Source organism: Homo sapiens, chromosome 4 (assembly GCF_000001405.40).
Source record: "Homo sapiens chromosome 4, GRCh38.p14 Primary Assembly".
Classification (NCBI taxonomy): Eukaryota; Metazoa; Chordata; class Mammalia; order Primates; family Hominidae; genus Homo; species Homo sapiens.
This window is the reverse complement of record NC_000004.12, coordinates 78,528,226-78,547,760: the sequence shown is the minus strand read 5'-3', so window position 1 is coordinate 78,547,760 and position 19,535 is coordinate 78,528,226. Positions and strand designations below refer to the sequence as shown.

Genomic DNA, 19,535 nt, shown 5'->3' with positions numbered 1-19,535 from the left:
GTGGCGGCCGGGCAGAGGCTGTAATCTCGGCACTTTGGGAGGCCAAGGCAGGCGGCTGGGAGGTGGAGGTTGTAGCGAGCCGAGATCACGCCACTGCACTCCAGCCTGGGCACCATTGAGCACTGAGTGAACCAGACACCGTCTGCAATCCCCGCACCTCGGGAGGCCGAGGCTGGCGGATCACTTGCGGTTAGGAGCTGGAGACTAGCCCGGCCAACACAGCGAAACCCCGTCTCCACCAAAAAAATACGAAAACTAGTCAGGCGTGGTGGCGCGCGCCTGCAATCGCAGGCACTCGGCAGGCTGAGGCAGGAGAATCAGGCAGGGAGGTTGCAGTGAGCCGAGATGGTAGCAGTACAGTCCAGCTTCGGCTCGGCATCAGAGGGAGACCGTGGAAAGAGAGGGAGAGGGAGACCGTGGGGAGAGGGAGGGGGAGGGGGAGGGGGAGAGGACATTTTATTATTAGTGATGCTTTCCAGGTTGTGTTTATTGCATCCATGTGGTGAAAATAGGGCATAAGCCGGGCGCAGTGGCTCACGCCTGTAATCCCAGCACTTTGGGAGGCCGAGGTGGGCAGATCACGAGGTCAGGAGATCAAGACATCCTGGCTAATACGGTGAAACCCTGTTTCCACTAAAAATACGAAAAATTAGCTGGATGTGGTGGCGGGCGCCTGTAGTCCCAGCTACTCAGGAGGCTGAGGCAGGAGAATGGCATGAACCCGGGAGGCGGAGCTTGCAGTGAGCCGAAATTGCGCCACTGCACTCCAGCCTGGGCGACAGAGCGAGACTCCATCTTAAAAAAAAAAAAAAAACCAAGAAAAACAGAAAGAAAAAATAATAATAATAATTTAGCCGGGCATGGTGGCACATGTCTGTAATCCCAGCTACTCGGGAAGGCTGAGGCAGGAGAATCGCCTGAACCTGGGAGGCGGAGGTTGCAGTGTGCCCAGATGGTGCCATTGTACTCCAGCCCGGGCAACAAGAGCGAAACTCCGACTCAAAAAAAAGAAAAGAAAAATAGTGCATAAAGTGGTACTACTGTGCATCTCTTCCCAACTCCACATTCAGTGAAATTATGCTAATGGGTTGTATTCAGCCATAATGGGAGTATATACAACACAAAAACTAGGAAATACTGTAAATGGAGCTTCCCTTTACCCGAAAGGTCAGTTGTGAAGCATTTATCAGCACATCACTCTTTATAATAACAAGCAAATTTAAAATTGAGACAAGATTTGAGTTCAAGTATTTAATTTTGATTTACATTAGAGAAGTGGAACCAAATGGCACTGAATTTAAGGACTGTGTAAGAGTTTGGACAGAAAGACAGAGTACTTAAAGGGTCTGAATAAAGAGTCAAATAAAGGAGCTATTTACAAACGCATGGGCAGAGTTCGGTTAGGTATCCACAGGGATGATATAGTCTCCAAGGACTAGGGACAGGATGAAATCATGACTAGCCTTGCGTGGGCAAGGGAGGGAAGGGGTTTCATCAGAACCCGTGACACCTGTGGCCAGGGAGGGATGCAGCCACCCCAGAATCACAAGGCAGAAGGAAGCAGGGAGGAGGCTAAACACACATCATCTTCTCTCTCATCAGTGGTTCCACTTGGCCAACCTCAACCAGAAGCAAGAGGCAAGGGAGCCTTGAAGAAGCAGTTGATGAAAAGTCGGTTTCCCAGAGCACAGGGCAGGGCAGATTCAGTGTGCAGCAACAGAATCAGCCGCAGAGGGACTCTTGGGAGTTGCTAGTATCCAGCACTGGTTCATTTTTAAAGCATTCCTTAGTGGGATGTTTAAGGGAGATATCTTGATACTAGTTTTTAACAATTTATTAAAATTATTCCAGAGACTGAAATTCTAATAACTTCTATAACTTGCTGAGTAGTCTTGGAACTGAGATATCTTGATACTAGTTTTTCACAATTTATGAAAATTATCCCATAGACCGAAATTCTAATAACTTTTATAACTTGCTGAGTAATCTTGGAACTTGGCCTTAAACCAAAATGAGCCTAGGGATAAAATTCTGCTAGCTTTTTTAGAGAGGGTTGCAGCATAGGTCTATTTTGTTGTATTAATCAAGTGATGTAATTTTTCATGACAAGCATTAAATTTAGGTGATAGGAGTTGGGACCATTTTAAAGCAACATCAAGTTGTGCTTGTGAAGGCCTTCAAAGATTTGAAATTCTGAAATTCATATGAAACTTTCAAAGGAACTTATCCAGGACAACTATGTCTCACGGGGTTGTTATGAAGACTGAATGAGGTACAGAATATAAGTGAGTCATTGTTCTTGATCGGAGCATTGCCAGATATGCCCAATATATCATTTGATATAGTCCCTGTAACAGTCCTGGGGCATTAGCTACTCTCAGCACACAGGGTTCTAGTTAAGAGTTCTCTGTGGCTCATTTGGGGACAGAATCTCTATTACATATTGTGGTATCATAATATTAGGTTGAGACATACAAAACTATTGATATTGGACTATTTTTAACCTATCAAATCAATTTCATGTAGTTGAATGTAATAACATATTCCAAATATAGTCTCCTTCCACCACTCCCAGTGCATTTCTTCAAAAGCAGTCTATGAGGCATTTTAAATTCTAAATGGGAACTCATTTTCTGCCACTATTCCTCAAGATCCCTAAATTTTATGGCCATGACATTTCCAGTCTCAGAAGCATTTTTATAGACAATCCTAACAATTCTTAGATTAATTCCTGGTACAGCTTCTCTGCACTCTAGAGAAGTGAACTCCAGGGCAGAGAGTCTGCTCTAAGGCAACGGATAATCACAGGAAATTGTGAGGATTGGAAGTTTACATTAAGCTCCTGGCAGCATCTCAGCAACTTCCAGGATTGGTTGTGGCATCCCTTCCCCAGATTTTCTATAAACATGCTTTCTCAAGTCTTGCTGAGTTTGCAAACGTGCCAACAGAGCCCTGCTGGTCACTGTTATTGGCAGTTATTTGTTTTATCAGAAGGGAAAGGCACACAAATGCACAGGCTTGCAGAATGCAAAGACCAGCTGGGTACAGCTCCATTTTGACTCTGATTTTTCCTTCCATGAGCCTATAAACTCTTGTTTGGAGCTTTGGTCTTTTCCAGGGTCAGTGATGGATGCTCAAATATTTGCATGTGCACAGAAGGACATAAGCCACCCTCATACTATATCATGTCTCTTTAGAAGTTTTGATAATAAATACAAAAATCATCTTATTATATGGCACATGGAAATTTTAATTATTCCTCTTTGTCTCAGAATTTCAACTGATTGCCAAAGACCTATGATAATCTGGAAACATATAATTTATTCAGCATCTTACTCTGAACACAGTTAATGAGCGTCTCAGATTCACCCTCATTAGAAGGGTTTTCTCCAGAAGACCGCTTCAAATTTAGAATGAATTTTGGCATCTTAATGGCAATGTCTATATTCATAAGAGATATAATCTAAAAAGAACATAGGAAAACAAACAAAAAACCAACAAGACTGTCATTTATTAATACAAATTTATATAGTGGCATATACTATTGGAGAAATCAGAAATTCATAACACACAAATTCATATTGGAAATACAAAAATCATTTGAGAGTCAAGAAATCAGGTTGACAGCACCACAAATGTTTACTCAGTCTGAGCAGGTGTGTAGTATCCAAGAATAACAAATACCTATAGCAGACTGAGACTGAATATCATAAGACTGTGCAAACACATTCCAACACTATTTCCCACCCAACAATAGAATCTGCAGGAGTCCTCTAGGAGGCCTGGGGTACAATAAAAGGGCAGCAAAGCAGAATGGTACAGACCATTCTTTCTTTTAACCTTCACAGCCAGCATATAAAAGCAAGTAGTAACCACTGAGAGTTGTTTGTTCCTTCTCACTTGAAGGCAAGATATAAAAGGTTAGTAAAACACACACAAGGCATTAGTGAGCAAATCAGAGAAATTGAAAGCAGAGCTTTGACTGAAATATAATCCACATTAGTCATCAAATTACTTGATTCCTATAATGAAGTATGAAACAAACCAAATGAATAATTCTACATCAAAGGGGTATATCTCATCTCCACATCTCTTAACACTATTTAACAAGTGTGCATCCACTAGAGAAGTACTGGCATTCAATAACATACATTTAGTGGGGTGAAAGGCAGAAAGAAAGGGAGGCAGAAATACTGCAAGGGCTTTCCTTTCACACACAGTTTCCTATCTCACTCTTGCCCTTGTCATTTCAGACCTTGTACGTGGCGGTTGCTGGGAGCACTCTGGGGCTCAGTCTTTAGTCCTTCCCACTCTAGCTTCATTCTGCCACCTCTGTACTCTTCCCATGCAATGTCCTATTCAGCAGTAATGGAAGGGGTGTGCAAGAAGAATATGTGGGCAAATGGAAAGGTGCTGCTTTAACGTGTAAGCATTCTGGCACTTGGAGCAGTTACACAGTTACAAATAATGGGCCAAATGGAAGTTCGCTCTACAAATTAGCATTCACTCTCTAGGTTGTTCTGGAGATTCTGTGCCTGGCTGATCAGCTCTCCAGCCATGAGATACCAATTCTGGGTGTCCATGAGGCTGATACAGGAGTTCTGCCCTGAATTGCCCAAGCTGGTCTTAAGTAGCACCTGACCAGTCAGGAGTTTCAGACTCTGGGCTCACCCCAACTCATTCTCTCCTGAAAACCTGACACTCATCTCAGAATGCTAAATTAGATTTTGCTCTAAATCTCCTGTTCTGGATGCCAATTCATAGTCTCATCTCCTGCTGATGATACATTTTTATGAATTTTCTGCTCATGCTTCCTTAGGACCACCGCCAGAGTCATGCCTTTGTAAAGCGGTGTTTCTTTCCTCCAAGAAAAGGTTATCTCATAATCCAAGTAGAGAAGATAATTGTTTTCCTCTCTCCTCCCTTGTGATATTGCCACCATACTCTCTCACTTCCCCTTCCTAAATTTACTCCCCATCATTCACCCATGACACCATTCATTCATTCAACAAACATTTCTGGAGTGCTTGTTACATGCAAGGCACTGTTGAAGAATGAAAGGCGTGGCTCACAAAGGTCCTACTTTCAAGGAGCTTGGAGTCTCACAGAGCTGCCTAGAACCTTTCACAGTTCATCCTTTCTAGCTTTTAGTAGCGAAATGTTACTAGTTTGGAATGTTCTCAAAGAGCTTGAGTCATTCTCATACAAATATTACACAATGTGAAGGCTCTGTTATTTGCTTGGTGACTATGGTGTGCCATGCATCAGAAGAGGACATGTCTTTTACTCTCGAATAATGAAATTGTGCCTCCAATTCAAAACAACATGGCATGCACGCTTATGTTTCCGCCAATAAGGCAGAAACAGAAGAGAAACAAAAGCAAGCTGTGTGTAGCCTACACAAAATAGTTAAGCTGATACTTGAACACTAAATTATTTTAGAGCCATGTGTTCATGGCCTTGTCATGTGCTGATATGGTAAAAATAATTGCCTGAGCTACCAGAAAAGAACCCCTCAAAGAGAAATCCCTGAAATACTGCACCAGGAATAGTGCCTCTGTCTGCTGTGTCACACACAGCAAGGAGAACCAGCATGTATCTGTTAAGTCTGATTTCACCCCAACCTGGGCTTTCTCCTAATTTGCCTTATTCAAATGAATCACTTACTTTCCCGAAGCACTAACAGAATAAAAAACCATACCTAGGACATGGGATTGTCTGTTACAGGAACGGGCAAAGACCGGAGTAGGAGGAAAGTGTGGTGGGTTTTCTTTAAAGCATTTATGGCAATGTTGAATTAAAAGGCCGTAGTACATTGATCCTGTTTCGCAGCATCCTTGGTCAGGGATGGATGTCTCAGTGCCACATAAACTAGTTGGGAACAGACACCTCCCTGGGGTGAAGGGCATCACTAATGTGCTCTGATACGCCTGCCAGGCCCCTCCTTAACTCGGGTTTCAGTCTCCCCCTTTGTAGGAGGGAGTTCTCTGTGGCTGAGGAGGCAGAGGCTCCCGTGGTTTTCAGAGGATTTTACTTAAGCACACTGAAATCCCCAGGTAAAAAGGGCTCTGGAAAAGCAAAGTACAATTAGAGGCCAAGGAGCATACGCTGTCAAGTGAAATCATGAGCAAATATATGTGTTGTGTCGATTAGCAGAATTTTTAATGGAATCTGGGTGTCAGCAGTTCATACTCTGCTGTCTGGGGACTCAGGAAAAGCCCTGTAGGAGAAAGCTGGGGCTGGGGGAGGGAACCAAAGGCCCGTACCTACTTCTTCTCTCTGAGATCTGCCATGGTACTCTACCCAGTCCTCTCATCTCCATCTGCTAACCTAATTGTTCAACTCCTGTCCTGATACTAAAGTACTTGTTTTCTAAGACCAGCCTTACAGAAGGAGCTGTGTACAGTTGTTGACACTATTAAAGGGATCTACGGAAATAACTGTAATACTCTGGGGTTCTCAGTGGTTCTTTGCTGAATGAGGTAGCTCAGTTGTGAGTTGATGCATGTGATGTGTGCTGTCTGCCACTCAAAGCTATAGTTTTCCCTTTTTTATCTGCGAGATTATAAAAATACCAGTATTTCCCCCCATTTTATAAAAATGATTTTAGAAAAAAATACACATAGGTCTCCTCCATTAAACTTCTGTTCCATCTTGTAAATTGTTGTGAACTCTGACTTCTAGATTCAGTCTTTTGACTTTAGCACCTTTGAACGTGTAAGCCGCCTCAGGCTCACTCAGGATGTTGACGTTCCGCACAGTGCAGTAGTGTCTATTCACGTTCTTCTCCACCCGGTCCGGGTGCCTCTTGGGCACTTCTACCTTGGTATTCAGAGGATATTCTTCCAAAATGTCCTCTGCGGGCTTCTTCTTCCTCTGTTTCTGGCATTTCCTGTTGATAAAACAAGCCACCAAAAACACCAGAAGTAGAAGCATGATTGCAGCCAGGGCACTGCCAATGGACGCCCCAGTCTGTGACAGGGACGCAGCTACCGCCAACTCTTGCATCTCCAGATTCAGGGACTTCATATTGGTGCCATTCTTGACTTGGTCTCCTTCATTGTCATAGATGAGGGAATCATCAAGGATCAGCTGGCCATCGGGCTCTACCAGGTCCCTTCGGTTGCGTCTGAGTGGAGCTGTGAGAGAGCGCTGGACCCGGGGCCCTGAGATGGTGTCAGGGCCAATGATGTAGATGACCTGGAGATACCACTGGTGTCCTGCTTCCACCTGCAGGGGGACAAACCGAACATGTTGTTGTTGCCCACAGACCACCTCTGAAGAAAGGAAATGGAAGGATAATTGCCACTATATGCCTTGATAGATAACTGATTTCCAGAAAAGCATTAGCAATGGTTGGTGTCTACTAATACATAGAGAACTGAACCAGATATGGGTTCTATTTTATTTCCAAATTAAGATGATCTTGAGTCAGCTATTCGGATTCTTTTTTGTTTCCCTATGTGTACATGGAATAGCCTAAGAAATTATCTTTCATGGTCTCTTTAGCTAAGTGAATGCTTATATTTGTCTGTCTTTATTGATAGCAGTGAAATAATAGCATTAAAAACCACATTTATTTACAGTGACCTTCAATTATGTGTTATGCCAATTTACTATTTATTGGTGAACTTCAGCGAAAATGGAGTCATTCAACAAAATATTCACTAAACATATACTCTGTGCATAATACACAGATACGTGACAAACATTTTCTAAACACCTTCTCAATCAGGCTATATCATCAAGTATTTTATCTCCCCCTCATCTTCCTCCATTAAAATGCTTCATGGTTTCGAAATAACTTCTGAAGCATGATAATAGTTCTGAAGGGTCATAGATTAATATTTAGAGACAAAAAAAGTGAAATTTCATCTTGAAAGTTCATGTTCATTGCTAAGACTTAAGGTATTTGTGTTTATCAAATAGTAATTCTTGCTATTCTAAATTGCTGTATTGTATTATGATTTTTTAAATGTTTTTCATATGTCCGTGAAAATCAGCTGGGCTAGCATAGAACCAAAAAGGGATGCAATATAAAAGAACTTAGGAAAAACTGGAGTGTCATATGCAGCCATGATGTGCACAATGACAAGTGACTATATGCAAAGTCAATAATTGTATAATTGTTTTGGTCTACTGGGGATACATGTGAAAATTTTGGGTGGGTGATAAGCTTAACAATAAGAAAAGATCTGCCAGCAAGAATGGCAGAATGTTGAAGAATCCAGAGATGTTGCAGTCCTCCTTCTTTTTTTTTTTTTTTTCAAGCTTTAAAGTAGACTTGGTCTTAAGCTTCTGTTCTTCTCACCAAACTCACCTTATAGAGTGCATCTACTTTTAGAGTAAATCCATCCACACCTGGCATGTTACTGACCACATGGAAATCAGGCAACTCAGAGGCAAAGTGAGCCTCAAAAGGCACATCATGGAAGTACTTATCAGTTACCTCTGGCTGATTGCGGTCCTAGGATTTCAGAAAAAAGAAATGCAAGATTTAGAAAGATGGTTCCACTATATTGGTAGGTGGCAGTGACTGGGAGGAGAAAAGTACTCATCACTCCTGGCTTTAGGTTGAGTTGAGAGAGTATGTGCTGTGAAGCCCTCTCCATAAGTCAGTGGCTGCCTGATATGGTTTGGCTGTGTCCCCACCAAATCTTATCTTGAATTACAGTTCCCATAATCCCCATGTGTCATGGGAGGGACCCAATAGGAAGTAATTGAATCACGGTGACAGTTACCTCTATGATGTTCTTGTGATAGTGAGTGGGTTCTCATGAGATCTGATTTTTTTTTTTTTTTTTTTTAGATGGAGTCTTGCTCTGTCGCCCAGGCTGGAGTGCAGTGGCGCGATCTCAGCTCACTGCTGGCTCCACCTCCTGGGTTCATGCCATTCTCCTGCCTCAGCCTCCGGAGTAGCTGGGACTACAGGAGCCTGCCACCACACCAGGCTAATTTTTTTGTATTTTTAGTAAAGACAGAGTTTCACTGTGTTAGCTAGGATGGTCTCAATCTCCTGACCTCGTGATCCGCCCACCTCGGCCTCCCAAAGTGCTGGGATTACAGGCTTGAGCCACCGCGCCCGGACCTCTGATGGTTTTTTAAGAGGCTTTTTCCCCTCTGCTCGGCACTTCTTGCTGCCCCTATGTGAAGAAGGATGTATTTGCTTCCCCTTCTGCTATGATTGTAAGAGGCCTCCCCAGCCATGCTGAACTGTAAGTCAATGAAACCTCTTTCCTTTATAAATTACCCAGTTACAGGCATGTCATTAGCAACATGAGAACAGACTAATACACTAACTCTGGGAACCCACTGTCCTTTTCAAAAGGACATGTGGTGGCTTTTGTGATCTCAAAATGCAAAAAGTGGGATATTCTAGCCCAATACTTCTCAAGTTATTTGGTCTCAGGACCCTTTACACACTTACAAATCAAGGACCCCAGAGAGTTTTTGTTTATGTGACTTATATCTATCGACATTTACTCGGTTAAAAATTAAACCTGAAAAAATTTTAAGTGTTTACTTATTAATTCATTTTAAACTGACAATAAGAAACTCATTACATGTTAACTTAAGTAAGATATTTTTTAGTGAAAATACCTAAATTCATTCCCTTCCTCAATAAAGAGAGCTGGCAATGTTTTACATTTTTGTAATCTCAGGGAAAAAACTGGATTCTCATAACTGCTTCTGAATTCCATCAGTTGTGATATGCTGTTTTGTCTAAAGTGTATGAAGAAAATCTGGCCTCATAAAGCTATGTAGTTAATAGCTTTTTCAAACAATTATGGCTTTTTTTTTTCTTTTTTTTTTTTGAGATAGGGTCTTGCTCTGTTGCCCAGGCTGGAGTGCAGTGGTGCAATCTTGGCTCACTGCATCCTTGACCTCCCAGTCTCAAGTGATTTTCTCACCTCAGCCTCCCAAGTAGCTGTGACTACAAGTGCATGCCACCAAGCCCAGCTAATTTTCAAATATTTTTTTGTAGATATGGGGTCTCCTTATGTTTCTCAGGCTTGTCTCAAACTCCTAAGCTTAAGTGATTCTCCCACCTCAGTGTCCCAAAATGTTGGGATTACAGGCATGAGCCACCACGCCCTGCCTCTTTTTTGATACTAAATCAAAACTTGGTGAGTGGTTATTTTTTAAAGATTCATTACAATGTGGAATCTGAAATTTTATTGATAAACTTTTTAAACTCTCTAAACTCATGAGGGAATAAGTATGAAAAAAAGAGTCATCATCATATTATTTTGAAAGTAATTTTGACTCTGTAGACTCCCTGAAAGAGTATGGGGACACTCCAGGTCTCTGAACCATACTCTGAGAAACATTGGCCGAGAGTTTCCTTTTCTGAGGACATCAATGGAAGTTTGTCTTGTTACTCATCGTAACTACCACCTATGTACTAGTATTTAGCTGATCTGAAAGAAACAACAACACAAACATATATAGAGAAGAAAATATCAAGAGTGAGCTCTATCTACTTTAGGCAGAAGTCATAGCTGAGGAAATCTGCTCAAGTGTCTGCTCTTTAACACTAATAGTGAGAACTTAGCATACCAACAGCAGGAATCTGTGTTTTAGGTGTTTGTTTGGCTGAATGCATCCATACTGGGGCCCTTCATTGTAGATTGTCCCCGTGGGATCAAAGAAAGGCACATAACCATCCTTGCCCGTACAAAGATAGACTTTCTCCAGCTGGAGTTTGTAAGCAGAATTAAGATTTTGTTCTGGATTCCAAAGTACTCGGCCATAAAGGATTTGACCTGAAAAGATTGAAAGGTATTAATTAGGTCAGACTTTAAGATGAAAGAAAAACAAATGTCAAGGGTTGAAAGGGGTTAAACATGCTCCCTTAAGAGTGAAAAGCACTTTTCTATGAAGAGCTCCATGATTCCATGTGCCCCTAAAATACTCATTCATTTATTGCTTCGTTTTTATTCTTATTTTCTTTTTTTCTCTGAGTTTTCTTGCTAGGGAACATTTATGCCTTCTTTTTTTCAATAAGCATTAATTAAGCATTTAAGGGAAGCAAAGTATTCTGTTATGCACAGGGGATACCAAGGTGTGTGAGATGCAGTTGAGAGGATGGAAACAAACTCACAGTGATTGACTAAAATAGGCTCATATTTATCAAACTCATACTATTTTCCAGGTACTGTACCAAGTCCTCTCATGTAATAACTCATGGAGTGCTCACAATTTTGCAGATGAGAAACCTGAGGCACTGAGTGGGGCTAAGTGATTTGCTGAAGGTCACAAAGCAAGCAAACGGTGAGGGTGGGATTCCAAGTCAAGGTACTATGCTCTCAAACCAAACCACCACAATACTTTATTAATCACCCAAATGCTATACTGTTACATTCCACAATAGAGGAAGGTATGTCATGTTAAGAGAGCATGAAACCAGGTACAGAAATCTGCCTAGGGAATGGTATGGAAGGTTTCAAGAGACATGATATTTGAGCAGTATCCTGAAACACAAGTAGGCATTTGTCAGACAGTGCATTTGGGGTGGGAGTGAGAGGCAGGAGAGAACACTCTAGGCAAAAAAAAAAAAAAAAAAAAATCCATGTACAAAATACTGAATGCTTCAAGGATGTAAGCCCTGGTGTAGGCCGTTTCCTATGTGTCGGCTATGGCACCAAGCTCTTTACATGCAACTAACTTACTTAATCCTCCCAAGAGCCCAAAAGATAGCTTCAATTATTATTCCCATTTTTAAGTAACTTATCCAAGGTTCCACAGCAATGATGCAGTGGGAGGAGGATTTTGGAATTAGCACAAATCTGGCTAATTCCAAATGCTCATCCCAAACATTTACTATGTGGTGCTAAGTAAGTCAGTGTGACAAGAGTGGAGGGTGTGTAGAAGCTCTGGCAGGAGAGGCTCCTGGGGACATAGACAAACCGTGCTGAGGAGGCTGGACTTGAATATATAAGTAATAAGAAACACTGGAGGGTTTTAAGCGGAAAGGTAGTAACACACTTGGGCCTTAGAAACATGGCAAATGGGTCAAGGACAAAGAGACTTAAGTCACAGAGACCTGGTAGGGGCTATTTTAATCCTCTAGTGAGAGATAGGCACCTAAAATATAGCTGTGAGGCAAGAGGATGAACTCAAGAAATGTCTAGGAGTCAGACTCCACTCATCTTAATGATAGATGGGACGTAGGATGTAGGAAGGGGAAGTTGAGGATAACCCTGAGATTTTTGGTTGGGGCACATAGAGGATGGTGACGCAGTCAGCAGGGTAGCAGATGTGGGAGGAGCATGCTTGGAAGGAGACAAGTCCAGACTTGGGCATCTCTAGGTGTCTGAAAGACATGCTGCTTGGAGAGCTTCAGTAGTTTCATATCTGCATGTGGAAACATAGAAATGAGGCTCGGAGAGATCCAGGATGAGGTCAAATCCTATGGAATGGCCGCAGAACAGTAGGAGTGTAAGAAGTTCAGAGTAAAGGGATGGCCCAAGCCATGGGGATGACCAGAGGCAGCACTCAGAGTAGGAATAGACTGAGCCAAGCATGGAATCTGGGGACACTAACACGGAAGGGGCAGAGGATGGAGGCCAGGGACAGGAGAGTGAGAAGGAGTCATCTGAGAGGCAAGATGGTGTCGGGTGAGGCTGATGCAAAGGAAACCCAACAGGAAAAAAGTGCCAGAATACATCAATTTGGTGTCATCGACAAGAGAAAGATAGGATAGAATCCAGCCTGTGGTAAACGGATAGAGAAGTGACCGTGAAGTGAGCCATTTTCAGCAGAGAAAGCATGATGGAGAACACACATGTTTGGCATCGTTTTGAGACTGGGAGGCAATGGGATTTGAGGAAATAACTGACCCAGAGTTAGACAATGTGCTAGAATCTGGTCGGAAATGCCAGTATTCTTACTACTCAGACCAGTGCTTTCCCATGGCATCACACTGCCAATCATTATAGTGCCAAGTGTGTGATTTGATTTCGAAACAGCATGAAATGGGCCTGTACCTAGATTCAGTCCTGGCTGTCCTGGAACCAACCCTGGGGGATCTTTACTGGGGTGGTGACTGAGAGCATATGAGCAGAGATGCCAGTCCGGTGACTTAGCAAAAGCTTCTCATATCCAGGCAGAGCCTCTTTCTGCAGGTGGAGGAAGCAACTCACCTTTTGAAAAGGCTCCTTTGTAATCCATTTCTGCTAGTGACATATCAGATGTATTGGGATCCATTAGGAACACCTTCTCATTATTGCAGAGCTGAAATTCAGTGTTAAGTGAATACACAACTGGCACAGGGCGGTTGGTCTGCTGGAATGCAATGGGTATCAGGAATCTAAATGCAAGGAGAAACAAAGAGCTCTTTGAGAGCAGGGTCAGCTTTGCATATGTCATTTGAGTCACCCTCCCTTCCCCACCCTCCACAGGATTGTACACAGAGCTTTGTTGTGGGCACTAAATATTCACTGAATAAAGGGATGTGTAAGGTAAAAGGACTTTATTTGGTAGTTATTTCTTTTGAACAGAAATAATTAGTCTTAAAAAATAATTAATTACTCTTTAGGCTCTTTGGTATTCTTTGCTTTTTTTGGCCCTTTCACTCTGGGGGCTCCCAAAATTGCCCTTTGACTTCTAAAGTGCTCCCCGCTTTGGAGTCCAGCTAGATTTCTTCCCAGAGCTGCATGCTCTGAGGCTTTGACTCTTTCAACCTGATCAAAACTTTATTTATCGCATGTCCCACTTTCAGGACTTGCTAGGCGATACTCTCTTGCCTTGCTCTGTGTGCCTACCTCCCCAGCCTTCTTCCTGAGCCCCTTCCTTCCGTGTCTCCTTCTGGCAGATAAGCGCTCCCAAGGCTCAGTTCTGGGACCCTTATTGTTCTCCCTCAATAACTTCACCCAAGATGATCTCAGCCTTGTCACTGAGTGCATTTGCTATCTCAAAGGTAGTAATGCCAAATTTAACTATCTAATCCAGATTTCTCCTCTAAGCTCCGAAACACATATCTGGCTGTCAAATGGTAGCTCTACATGGCTGTCAGATAACCCAAACTCAGTATGCTCTTCCCTTGCAAACTTGCTCTTCCTTCTAGTGTTATTATCTCAGTGAAAGGCAAAAAAAGAGGTGCCAGCACCTTAAGTGTTCTCCCTGGAGTCACTATTAGTTCTGTCTAGGCTATTCTACATCTATCATGCAACGCATGAGCCAGTGTCATTTTCAAAAACTCAAATTTGCTTAATATCCTTCAGTGGTTTCCCATATCCCTTAGAAGGAAGAGCAATATTTTTGCCATGACCGGTAAAGCTCTGGCCTCTGCCTATTTCTACAGCCTCATCTCCAGCTACTCTTCCCCTTCCCTCCATTTCTGGGATCTAGCCAGACTGGCCTTCTTTCAGTCTCTGGACCAGCTCTCTACTCCATGATCTCTAGTGCCCCAGGGCTCATTTATTCAGCAAATATTCACTGAGCATATATTATACAGTAGACATCATTCTAGTAATAGGAATTCATCTGTGGACGAAACAGAAAAACATGATCTCAGGGAAGTTACGTTCTAAGGAAATAGTAAGCAAAATAAATAAAAAATAATATAGCATGCTAAAAGGTAACAGGTGATAAGGAGAACAATTAGGCAGAGAAAGGGTAATGCTAGAAGGAGGTTCAACTGGAAATTCTAAATAATATGGTCATGGGTGTAAATTGGTGCAGCCATTATGTAAAACAGTATGGATCATCCTCAAAAAATTAAAAATAGAACTATTACATGACCCAGCAATCCCTATTCCTGGTATATACCCAAACAAGGGGAAATCACCATCTTGTAGAGACATCTCCACTCCTAGGTTCATTGTAACATTATTCACAATAGTTAAGATTTGTAAACAACCAGTGTCCATCAATGGATTAATCAATAAAGAAAATGTGGTGTATATATACACACAATTAAATAGTCAGTCTTAAAAAAATAAGGAGATCCTGCCATTCGTGACCACATGGATGAACCTGAAAGACATTATACTATGTGAAATTAGCCAGACACAGAAAAATACTGCACAATTTCACTTATATATGGAATCATAAAAAGCTGATTCGGGTGGGAACAAAAAACTCCAAAAGCTGGATACACAGAAACAAAGAGAACAGTGGTTACCAGGAGCGACGAGGAGGGGGATATGGGGAAATATAAGTCAAAAGGTGCAAAGTTGCAATAATATTATGTACTGGACATTTCCTAAGAGAGTAGATTTCAGGTACTCTTATCATACACACACACGTGTGAATGCAGGTAACTAAGTGAGGAGATGGGTATGTTAATTTGTTTGACTTTAGTAATCATTTCACTATGTGTATCAAACCATAATGTTTTACACCTTAAATATATACCATAAAGAGAGAGAAAGGAAGAAACTCAGTCATGGAAGGCCTCAGTGAGAGGAAAACATGCAAAGGCTTGAAGCAGGCAATGGAGTAAGACATGCGGCTATGTGGAGAGGAAGCCCTCCAGGAAGAGGAAATGGCAAAGGCAAAAAGGTCTGGGGTAAGAGTGTGTGCAATACATTAGAGGAATGACCAGTCAGCCAGGGTGGCTGGAGAACAGTGAGGGAGATAAGATCACAGAGGTAACTTGGGACCAGATCCCATTTAGCCTTACCTGTACTGTCAGGACTTTAGGGTTTATTTAAACTGTGGAGTGTTTTGAAAAAGTGAGGGGTTTGCTGTGTTAAGAAGAAACTACAGGGTGGCTGCAGGGGACTTTGTTAACAGGCTATTTCAATAATTTAGACAAGTGATGATAATGGTTCTGACCAGGGCTTTTGCCAGGTGGGCAGTGAAAATAATTGGATTTTTAATATATTTTAAAGGAGAGGCCTAAAATCCTTGATGACAGTGCCAGAATAAGAGAAATCTCAATGATATTGTTAAGATTTGGGTGTAAGCACCTAGAACAGAGAGATTGACAAAGCTTTTCTGTGAACAGCCAGATAGTAAATATTTTAAACTTTGTGGGCCATATGGGGTACATGCACAGATACATGCTGGTAGGTCTAATGCACAGATGTAGGTATGATGATAGAAGCTTGCATAAGTTCTCTTCTGATTTCTTCTGTTTCCTCACTCCAACAGGACAGAAAGGTCACCAGGTGAAGGTGACAACAGGGGAGAAGCAGCAAGTTTGTGGGAAGGAATAAAATAGGCGAGAGGAAGAAAAGGCCTACGATAAAATACAACAGCCCTTTATGCTAAAAACTCTCCATAAACTAGGTATTGATGGGACATATCTCAAAATAATAAGAGCTATTTATGACAAACCCATAGCCAATATGATACTGAATGGGCAAAAGCTGGAAGCATTCCCTTTGAAAACCTGCACAAGACAAGGATGCCCTCTCTCACCACTCCTATTCAACGTAGTATTGGAAGTTCTGGCCAGGGCAAGCAGGCAAGGGAAAGAAATAAAGGGTACTCAAATAGGAAGAGAGGAAGTCAAATTGCCTCTGTTTGCAGATGACATGATTGTATATTTAGAAAACCCCATTGTCTCAGCACCAAATCTCCTTAAGCTGATAAGCAACTTCAGCAAAGTCTCAGGATAAATAATCAATGTGCAAAAATCACAAGCATTCCTATACAACAGTAACAGACAAACAGAGAGCCAAATCATGAGTGAACTCCCATTCACAATTTCTACTAAGAGAATAAAATACCTAGGAATCCAACTTACAAGGGATGTGAAGGACCTCTTTAAGGAGAACTACAAACCACTGCTCAAGGAAATAAGAAAGGACACAAACAAATGAAAAACATTCCATGCTCACGGATAGGAAGAATCAATATTGTGAAAATGGCCATACTGCCCAAAGTAATTTAGATATTCAATGCTATTCCCATCAAGCTACAAACGGACTTTCTTCACAGAATTAGAAAAAACTACTTTAAATTTCATGTGTAACCATAAAAGAACCCGTATACCCAAGACAATCCTAAGCAAAAAGAACAAAGCTGAAGGCATCATGCTACCTGACTTCAAACTATACTACAAGGCTACAGTAACCAAAACAGCATGGTACTTGTACCAAAAGAGATATATAGACCAATGGAACAGAACAGAGGCCTCAGTAATCACGCCACACATCTACAACCATCTGATCTTTGAAAAACCTGATAAAAACAAGCAATGGAGTCCAGTTTCAGTTTTCTGCATTTGGCTAGCCACTTTTCCCAATGCTATTTATTAAATAAAGAATCCTTTCCCCATTGCTTGTATTAAGTCCAAATTCCCTGTATCAGTCTTGATTTTGTATGTGTGTTGTAGTTCTATCGCATCCACATGGAGCTATATAGGGGATCCAAGGTTAAGCCTGGGGGAGTCACCCTGGGAATAATGGGGCATCTGCAAGTAATAATCTCCCTGATGTAAAGCAAGGACCCCCAACTCTGAAGCCTCAGTATCCTCAGCAACATTCTTCCTCTGCCACTTCCCACATTTATGCCACACAGGGCCTGAGGACAGTGTTGGTGTCCTCCTTGATCCTTTTAGCCAGTTTCAAACCGTCGTTCCTCTCTCCCCTTAAAAAATCCAGAACCTACCCTGGAGAAACTCTACTTACACATGTGCACCGAGATATATATAAGAATTTTCTTTGTAATAGAGAGAAAGCCAAAGGGAGTGGTCAAATACATTGTGGAATTTTCCTACAATGAATTCCTTAATGCAGTGAGCAACAAACTACAGCTACATGAATCAACACAAATGAATCAACAAATGATTCACTGAGTTAAAAAAAAGAGTAGCAGAGATAATTCATGCAGTATGAAACTTATATACAGTGGTTCCCCCCTCATTCATGGGTTTGCTTTTCTCTGTTTCAGTTACCTAAGACCTACCATAGTCCAAAAATATTAAACAAAAAATTCCAGAAATAAACAATTCATAAGTTTTAAATCATATACCATTTTTACTAGCATGATGAAATCTTGTGCCTTTCTGCTCCATCCTGCCTGGAACAGGAATCGTCCCTTTGTTCAGCATCTCCACATTGTATATGCTACCCATTTGTTAGTCACTTAGTAGCTGTCTTGGTTGGCAGATTGAAAAAACATTGTACATATAGGGTTTGGTATTATGTGTGGTTTCAGGCACCCACTGGGGCTCTTGGAACATTTACTCCAAGGATAAGGGGGGACTACTGTCTAGAGTTCAAAAACTTGCAAAACCATGTAGAAGTATACATGAGGTATAACCATAAACCAAAACAATGAATAATAAATACAAATATCAGGTTAGTGGTGACCCTAGTGGGGAAGAGAGAGGGAGTATGATTGGAGAGGGGCACTGAGGGTATTGAAGGAGTACTGGTAATGTTCTGTTTCTTGAGTTTCTTAAGGTGGGTGGTAGATCTGCTATATGATATATATATAGTCTTCAGAATATCTGAAATATTACATAATTTTTAAACATTTAAATGAATTAAAATTCCCCAGCATATCCCATCAGATTATTTTCCCATTGTTCTTCCTTACTGCAGCCAACTACCATTTTCCTGGTCACCTTCCTTCCTTCATTCGGCTAACTATGGTGCTTCCTGGCATTGTTCCTGCCATGAATCTTTGTGACTTAAACATCCATTCAGATGAACTATCAACTACCCCAGACTCCCAGTTCCTTGACTCCCTCACCTCCAAACAGCTTGTTCACCACCCTGCTACAGCTACCTACTCTTCATAGGCCCATTATGCACCATCACCAAAAATCTCATTTCCAGCACCTCGCTCTCTACCACCTCATGTCTTTCCAGCTCCTCTCTTCTTTTCCTCCCACTTCTTAATTACTCAGCCACACCAGGACCTCCCAACCACATTAGCAGAATGCACGGGAAAGGGAGCGCGTGCACTCTCATGGTGGGAATGGACATACATAGTTACATATTTACAAACATGCTGGAAGACAGTTTGGCAGTTTCTTAAAAAGTTAAACATACATCTGTCATATGATCCAGTCACTCCATTTTTAGGTATTTACATAAGAAAACAGAAAACACATGTTTATATAAAGCTCGTACATGTAGGTTCATAGAAGCTTTATTTATCATAGCCCCAAACTGGAAACAACTGAAATGTTCATCAGTTGATCACTGATAAACAAACTGTAGTAAATCCATACCATGAAGTCCAACCCAGAAATAACAGGAACAAATACTGATACACCCAACACAGATGAATCAAAATCATCATGCGGAGTGCGATGAGCCAGAGAGAGAGAATTCACATTGTATGATGTCATTTATAAAACACTCTAAAAAAAGAAAACTTATCCATAGTGGCAGAAAACAGATCTGTGGTTATCTGCAGAAAGGGAATGGATGATGTGAAGGAGGAACTACAAAGGCACACGAGGAATCTTTTTGGAAATGGATATGTTCCCTATCTTGTCTCTATCTTGACTGTGGTGATGTTTCACAAGTGTATACATAGGTAAAAATTTATCGAATTGTACAGTTTAAATATGTACAATTTTATGTCAATAATATGACAATTTAAAAGCAGTTCCACACCGCCTG

At 41.6% G+C, this 19,535-nt stretch overlaps 1 protein-coding gene across 1 annotated transcript in view, besides 2 other annotated features; it reads right to left on the bottom strand.

Annotated features, from left to right (window-relative positions):
• FRAS1 (Fraser extracellular matrix complex subunit 1) overlaps nucleotides 3,492–19,535 on the bottom strand; it is a 486,947-nt gene continuing 470,903 nt past the window's right edge. Inside the window, exons 71-74 of the mRNA NM_025074.7 lie at nucleotides 13,146–13,312; nucleotides 10,561–10,766; nucleotides 8,321–8,467; nucleotides 3,492–7,230 (exon numbers count right to left, since the gene is read on the bottom strand). Of these exons, the coding sequence (NP_079350.5) occupies nucleotides 6,637–7,230; nucleotides 8,321–8,467; nucleotides 10,561–10,766; nucleotides 13,146–13,312 (1,114 nt within the window). The 3' untranslated portion in view covers nucleotides 3,492–6,636. The remainder of the gene's footprint in view (nucleotides 7,231–8,320; nucleotides 8,468–10,560; nucleotides 10,767–13,145; nucleotides 13,313–19,535) is intronic.
• Nucleotides 12,585–13,784: an enhancer, noted in NCBI's record as "CDK7 strongly-dependent group 2 enhancer chr4:79455131-79456330 (GRCh37/hg19 assembly coordinates)". NCBI's record gives its function as "activates an origin of replication core promoter dependent on BRD2, BRD4, P300/CBP, MED14 and CDK7 cofactors, with strong dependence on CDK7, by STARR-seq in HCT116 cells {active_cell/tissue: HCT116}" and the evidence as "EXISTENCE:reporter gene assay evidence [ECO:0000049][PMID:35650434]".
• Nucleotides 18,492–18,786: a silencer, noted in NCBI's record as "tiled region #14158; HepG2 Repressive non-DNase unmatched - State 15:Elon". NCBI's record gives its function as "represses a minimal TATA promoter and a strong SV40 promoter by Sharpr-MPRA in HepG2 cells {active_cell/tissue: HepG2}" and the evidence as "EXISTENCE:reporter gene assay evidence [ECO:0000049][PMID:27701403]".